Raw genomic sequence first — 8171 nt, 5'->3', positions numbered from 1 at the left:
TTCCTTAGGGAAGACTGAGCAATCATGAGACTGGAAGAGTTTGTCAAAAGGCACAGAATTCTACTTTAAAATGGTTTTATGTTAGGTGACTCTTAATGTTAAAGCAGAGATATCAAGTAAGCAATCTGACATTGAAGCAGACACTGTTGTTGCAACACCCAAATGCCCTAGTGTCAAAGTTCACTGAATGGCTGCATGCATCGCCTACATTGCTGCTCACATCTGCTCATACATTGTTCTTGGGCTATCAGAACCACCTCACATCACACAATTTCTTCCTTGTCATCACATATGAAGAGAAATAGCCCATCTTTGTTTCTTCCAGGTGGAACAAACTCTGTGGCTCCTTATCTGAAACCAAATTGTTGCTTGGTTTCATCTATTCCTTATTCTGTTTCCTGAGGCTCTTTGTGGCCACCCATGACAACATCCCCTTAGTAGGTTCCTTGTATGTCAATCCCTCTGTCAGTCTTCATTTGTAAGGAATTTGATCTCATACCCAAGTCAATAGAAAAACGAGGGCTAGAGAAACTACAGTAGAAAGTATCAGCATTTACAACATTTAAACACCTGGGCCTGTATAGCATTCCCTGGGTAGTAAATGTAAAGATAGAAAAACAGACAGTAAAACACAGTCCTGGGAAAGTGCAGCCTGTACAGGTACATAAGAGGAGAGCCAACAAAAGAGACTTAGAATGACTGGTGAGCTAGGAGAGTAATCAAGTGAAAAGATGTGATCAAGTGTGTCAAATGCTGCGGAGTGATTAAATAAAATGAGGACTGACACTTGATCACTGGAAAAAATACTTCAGAACAAAGTAAGACTATAACCTTCTTACACAATGATGGCAAAAGCATCACTCTGAATATTTCATTTTATCAAATGTAGGGAATGATTTAGACTCTTCTGTAGGACACAAAAGCCTGTGGCTCTAAGGAACTGGAGCAGAAAACACTCTGTAAAGAGAGGCTAAGACCAAGAAGTAAATGGATGGGATTTTGAAGAAAGGCTGTGAAACCCTAGACAAAATATTATAATTACCATTTATAGTGGAAATGATGAAGAACATAAATTTTATTCATATATTGTTAGTAATAAGAATCAATGGCATGCAGACGTAAACTCTAGTACAATGCAAAGGAAGAGAATAAAGACATTAGTAGAAAGTGCAAGAAGAGATAAAAAGATAGGTGATGGAAGAAAACCTAATTGTCAATACATATAAAATAAAATTTATGTGATGGTAACCATAAAATTATATCATCAAATGATATCTCATTTTCAGCCATCAAATGTTTGCAAGAATATAAGAGGCACCTGGAAGGGTTATGAAAAGGGTTTTGACAATCTATGTAATCTCATGCATTGGGACCCAGTATTTCTACTCATAGAGATTAATTCCAAGAACATTTAATATACTTTCTATTTTTCATATTTAAGAATATTTTAATTATTACTTACTGTAGTAATACTAAAAGTAATATAAACATTTTACTTTTAAAACTTCTTTTTGATTTTTTTTGTAAAGATAGGGTCTTGCTATGTTGTCCAGACTGGTCTCCAACTCTTGTTCTCAAGTGATCCTCCCGCCACAGCCTTCCAAAATGCTGGGATTACAGATATGAGCTACCACACCAAGGCAAAAAGTAAGGTAGGCATTGTGGCTTACACCTGTAATCTCAACACTTTGGGAGGCTGAGGCGGGTGGGTCACTTGAACCCAGGAGTTTGCGACCAGCCTGGGCAACATGGTGAGACCCCATCTCCACAAAAAAACTACAAAAAATGAGCCAGGTGAGGTAGTGCATGATGTAGTCCCAGCTACCCAGGAGGCTGAGGCAGGAGGATTGCTTGAGCCCAGGAAGTTGGGGATGCAGTGAGCCATAATCCAGCCACTGCACTCCATCCTGGGTGACAGAGCGGGACCCTACCCCACCCTCCCAAAAACAGTAATGTCAACATTTTAAAAATGAGTTACTAAATAAATTTTAGTATAATCTTAGAGTAAATACAGACAAACATTAAAGTTTTTTAATTTTAACATCTTCAGATTAGTCAACATAAGACTATTACTATTTAATATAGGCATATTATGGTATCTGTATACTGGCTGGCCTACAGCTGACATCCATATATGCCCGTTATGTGGAATTAGGCAATGTTCAGCCTCCACTTAATCCACATAGGTATAAAGTTTCAACTAATGTAAGAAGAACAGAGTCTCCTAAGCAGAACGTGAGTTATAATGTCTCATTTCTGCTGAAATATAGACAAGTCTTGAAGATTTTTGTGGGGCACATGTAAAATAATTTATAGCCAGAGTGAAATGTAGCACCACCGGGAGTAAATCCACCATTTGTTAGGTGCCAAGAATTATGAAGAGTTTAACTTTGGAGGGGACAATGATTATAATTGAGGAAAAGAATCAAAGAAACAAAACCAGATCTTGTTAGCAAAGGTAAAATGAATAATGGGAATTTAGAGCAATGAGAACAAGGATGTAAAAGATTTTGAGCAGTCTGGGCTGAGTGAACTGTTTGTTATTCCCGAGGGAGTTTTGAATACATTCAAATTTTGCTCCTGAAGATTCTGAAAGGTATTAAAGAAATAAGAGAACTTCAATATGAGGCTGAGAGTATGTAGATTTAAACCAGGGTATTTGAAATTCTATGCTTTCTATGATCTCACTCATATTCTTGGACTTTAGTGAGATGTGTATGATGTTTTGAATATTACATATTATTCCTGGAATCCTGCACTGAGAACAGTCCATTTATAATAAGTACATAACACAATCATTTTCATCACTCTTCATTTTCACTGAGGACAGAAAGATATATGATTATTTATAGTGAGTACAAAGAGGGTTTTTGAAGTACCAAAATGAACAGATTCTAAAATGTATTTTTATCAAATCCCATAAGTAGCAAATCAGACAAGTAGCAACTGCTGTTAATAATAATAAAATTTTTCTTAAATAAAAAAGTATTCTGTTTGCATTGGCTATCAGTTACTAAGTGAAAGTAGTAAATAATACTTTAAATTATTTTCTAAAATATAAATGCTGTAAAATGATAAAGCTGTATATTATCTTTTTGATATTTTTCTAGATAGTTAACATCAATGTTACCATACTGTGAATAGAATTAATTACAAACACTTGAAATTTATTTCTAATTATAGTTTGTAAACTCCATTACTGTTTTTGTTTTGTCATATTTAGTATTCTTTTCACAGAAATAATTACTAGTTTAATATAATACTAGCTTATAATTTCTACAAGTAATGATGTATTGACAAGTGAAATTAAGAAAAAAACTATTTGTGCTACTCATTTTTTAACAATTTTTTAGGAAGTTAGGTAAAAAATGTAAACATTTGATTTTGAAATTATGCATTATTTTTGCTAAGCATTGTTCACTTGAGATCAAAGAAACACCCTATCATTAGAAGGAAAATAAGAATTGCATTATAGGCAATTGTATTAAACTTATTATTAGAAGTTTTACTTGGGTCAATTAGGTTTTACACACACACACACACACACACACACACACACACACACACACGTTACCTAATTGATCACAGATTGAACATAGGTATGTATATATATATGTATGTCACCTAATAGATCACAGATTGAAAAGGAACCAGTAATATTATTTACAGATGATGTGATCATGTAGACAGAAAATTTTAGGAAGCTTCTAAAACTATTTGAACTAAGATACTTGTTCATCAAACTTACAGACATGAAATCAATATTAAATCATTTTTTCTATGTACTAGCAATGAAAATAAGTAAAAAATTAAAACAATATTACAATAATAAACTTGTTAGAAAAAAACTGAAGAAAGGAAGTATGAGATATGCATACCAAAAATGATAAAATATTGTTGAAAGAAAACATAAGATATTTAAATAAATGGAAAGATATCCTAATTTCACGAAGCAGACTTTACATTGACAATGTTCCTCAAATTAATGTAAAGTCTCAGTACAACTCTTATTCAAAACTCAGTCATTATTAATGATTGCAGAAATTGAGAATCTTATTCTAAAATTAAAATGGAAATGTAAAGCATCCAGATTTGTCAAAACAATTTTTTTTTTTTACATCAAGTTCTGGGATACATGTGCAGAACGTGCAGGTTTATTACACAGGTATATGTGTGCCATGGTGGTTTGCTGCACCTATTGACCTGTCCTCTAAGTTTCCTCCCCTCAGCCCCAGCCCCAACAGGCCCTGGTGTGTGTGTATTGTTCTGTTCTTTGTATCCATATGCTCTTAATGTTAACTACCACTTATGAGTGAGAACATGTAGTGTTGGTTTTTCTGTTCCTATGTTAGTTTGCTAAGGATGATGGCTTCCAGCTTTATCCATGTCCCTGCAAAGGACAGGATCTCATTCTTTTTTATGGCTGCATAGTATTCCATGGTTTATATGTACCAAATTTTCATTATCCAGTCTATCATTGATGGGCATTTGGGTTGGTTTTATGACTTTGCTATTGTAAATAGTGCTGCAATAAACATATGTGTGCATGTGTCTTTATACTGGAATGATTTATATTCCTTTGGTTATATATCCAGTAAAGAGATTGTTGGGTCAAATGATATATCTAGCTCTAGATCTTTGAGGAATCGCCATACTGTCTTCCACAATGGTTGAGCTAATTTACATTCCCACCAACAGTGTAAAAGCATTCACTCCAGCCTGGGCAACAAGAGCAAAACTCCATTTCAAAAAAAAATAAATATAAAAAGCGTTCCAATTTCTTTACAGCTTCACCAGCATCTATTGCTTCTTGACTTTTTACTAATCAGCATTCTGACTGGTATGAGATGGTATCTCATTGTGGTTTTAATTTGCGTTTCTCTGACGATCAGTGATGTCGAGCTTTTTTCCATATGTTCGTTCGCTGAGTAATGTCTTCTTTTGAGAAGTGTCTGTTCATATCCTTTGCCCACTTTTTGATGGGGTTGTTTTTCTCTTGTAAACTTGCTTAAGTTCCTTGTAAATTCTGGATATTAGACCTTGGTCAGATGGGTAGATTGCAAAAATTTTCTCCCTTTCTCTAGGTTGCCTGTTCACTCTAATAATAAGTTTCTTTTGCTGTGCAGAAGCTCTTTAGTTTAATTAAATCCCATTTGTCAATTTTGTCTTTCGTTGCAATTGCTTTTGGTGTTTTCATCATTAAGTCTTTGCCCATGCCTATGTTCTGAGTGGTATTGCCTAGGTTTTCTTCAAGGATTTTTATGGTTTTGGCTTTTACATTTAAGTCTTTAATCCATCTTGAGTTAAGGTTGGATAAGGTGTAAGGAAGGGGTCCAGTTTCAGTTTTCTGCATATGGCGAGCCAGTTTTCCCAGCACCATTTATTGAATAACAGACCCTTTTCCCACTGCTTGTTTTTGTCAGGTTTGTCAAAGATTAGATGGTTGTAGATGTGTGGTGTTATTTCTGAGGTCTCTGTTCTGTTCTGTTCTGAAGCTTATTTCTGTCATTTCATCCATCTAACCCTCCATCCAGTTCCGTGCTCTTGCTGGAGAGGCACTGCAATGATTTGGAGAAGAGGCACTCTGACATTTTGGGTTTTCAGCATTTTTTCATTCTTTCTTTCTCTTCTTCATCAGTTTGTCTAGTTTTAATCTTTGAGGCTGCTGACCCTTGGATAGGGTTTTTGTGGGGAGGTTTTTGTTGTTGATGCTGCTGTTGTTGCTTTCTGTTTGTTTGTTTTTCTTTCAATGGGAAGGTCTCTCTTCTGTAGGGCTGCTGCGGTTTGCTGGGGGTTCACTTCAGGCCTTATTCATCTGGATAGATCCCTCGCCTGGAGATGTCACTGAAGGAGGCTGGAGAACAGCAAAGATGGGTGCCTGCTCCTTCTTCTTGGATCTCTGACCTTGAGGGGCACCAACCTGATCCCAGTAGAGTCGCTTGTGTATAGGGTGTTTGACAACCCCTGTTGAAGAGTCTCACCCAGTTGGGTGGCACAGGGAACAGGGCCTGTTTAATGAAGCACTTTGTCCCTTGGTGGATGAGGTCTGCTTGGCTGGGAAGAAACCCACTAGTCTGGGCTACCCAGATTCCTGAGAACTACCAGGAGGAAAGGCAAAGTCTGCCGGTCTGCAGAGACTGTGGCCACCCCTCCCCCTAGGGGCTCGGGCCCAGGGAGATCAGGGTTCTGTCCCTGAGCCTCCGGCTGGAGTTGTTGGAGTTCCTGCAGGGAGGCTCCACCCAGTGAGGAAGGATGGGTCAGAATCAGGCCTGAAGATGCGCTCTGTCTGTAGTCTGCCACAGCTTACGTGTTGGGCTGTGGGGAACACCTCTTTGGACAAAGCCATCCAGCTTCCCTGGCTTCAACAGGGGAAAAGCGCAGCCTGGAGCTATAGTGATGGGTGCCGCCCTCCTCCAACCCGGGGAGCTTATGTGTTAGGCAGTTATGAGTCTCAGTGCTGGCTGCTGCCCCTCTGCCAAGAAGCTCAAACGGCTCAGACAGCAAGCAGCAGCAACTGTGGTGCTGGTCGCCCCTCCACCAGAAAACTCGGCAGGCTTAAGCGGATTCTAGCTGAGAGGTTGTTGAGAATCTGTACAGCTCTGGGGTTGGAACCCTAGGCCCCGGTGGCGTGGGTCCACGAGTGGGACCTTCCAATCCGTGGGTTGCACAGTTCGGGGGAAAAAGCACAGTTTCCCTGGCTGGGTAGCATGCTCACTCACCGCCTCCCTTGGCTGGAGGGTGGGGGCTCCCCTGCCCAGTGTGGCTCTCAGGTGGGCCACTGTACCACACTGCTCTTCCTTCCTCTCCATGGATCGCACCCCCCTACCTTGTCAGTTCCGATGAAAGAACCTAGATATCTTGGTTGCTGGTGCAGGATTCACATGCTAATTATGGTTCTTTTCGATGGGAGCCTGAGATCACCACTGCTTCTAGTTGTCCATCTCGGCCCCACGTCCACCAAAACAATCTTGATAAAGAACAAATTTGGTGTTCAAGAACCAAACCTTCATATATGTGCTTTCCACAACTGTTGCTTTAACCAAATGTGAATCAAAATATTTTAAAAATAACAATACAATAAAATTAGTAAAATTTTTAAAGTAACAGTATAACAACTATTTATATAGCATTTACATTATGTTAGGTATTATAGGTAATTAGAGTTTAAAATGTCTGAGAGAATGTCTATAGGTAATATACAAATACTATACCATTTTTTAAATTAGAGACTTGAGCGTCTGCAGATTTTGGTATTTGTGGGGTAGAGTTGCAGGTCCAGGAATCAATCTCCTGTAGCTACCAGTCTCCTTGGATAAATCTGTCACTGTCTCCCATCAACCCCAGATGGGACCTTCTAGTTGCAGGAAAACAAGCTCAGGGCTCCCACTGATTCTATATTATAGTGAGTTGCATAATTATTTAATTATATATTACAGTGTAATAATAATAAAATAAGATGCACAATAAATGTAATGCACTTGAGATCTAAAAACCACCACTCCCTCCAGCCTGGTGTGTGGAAAAAATGTCTTCCATGAAACAAGTCCCTGGTGCCAAAAAGGTTGAGGACCACTGTTTTAGGCTATGAAGATCTTTTGAAGGTTTCAAATCATTCAATTCACTCTTGGAGAATGAAAACATATACTTTGTTACTTTTCATATGCTACTTATATCAAGAGGAGAGAAACTTGAAAGGAATACCTTTCAGTTTAAGAGTGTTTTTATTACTGGGTGCTCATTGACACGTTCACACGTTCAATTTCATTAAGGCAGTAAAACCATGGACATGGATGAAACAAAATGAGAAAAAAGTGATGTCAGAGCTTTCTTTGTTTTATTCTTCCTGTTACTTTTTTTTTCAATAAACAAATCTAACCAAGCATTAAAAGGAGAAATTTATAATTTCTTAAACACTTTCTCAAATCCTGGAAAATTCTATAAACATAATGTCAGTAACTTTCAATTTCTTTAAACTGAATTCCACACAAATTACAGTCATCTGCATAATAAGTACTTAAGAATACAATCTTTGAAGTCTGTCAAGTTGATCTTTAAAAACCTTTGCTACTCATTTTAGACCCTGCCATTACTGCCCATCAACTAACCTTTTTGTCTTTTACTTACCTTGTATTACAAAACTAACCGAAATTGAGGTGAAAATGTGACTTTTA

The 8171-nt window shown here is 37.8% G+C and overlaps 1 annotated feature.

Annotated features, from left to right (window-relative positions):
- Window positions 6457-6967: an enhancer, noted in NCBI's record as "H3K27ac-H3K4me1 hESC enhancer chr13:85501328-85501838 (GRCh37/hg19 assembly coordinates)". NCBI's record gives its function as "activates a minimal SCP1, AML or CMV promoter by ChIP-STARR-seq in naive H9 embryonic stem cells {active_cell/tissue: H9 hESC(naive)}" and the evidence as "EXISTENCE:reporter gene assay evidence [ECO:0000049][PMID:30033119]".

The sequence above is a fragment of the Homo sapiens genome, chromosome 13 (assembly GCF_000001405.40).
Source record: "Homo sapiens chromosome 13, GRCh38.p14 Primary Assembly".
In the NCBI taxonomy this organism is placed as follows: domain Eukaryota; kingdom Metazoa; phylum Chordata; class Mammalia; order Primates; family Hominidae; genus Homo; species Homo sapiens.
Note: the sequence above shows the minus strand (reverse complement) of the source record. Positions and strands in the feature narration are given on the sequence as shown.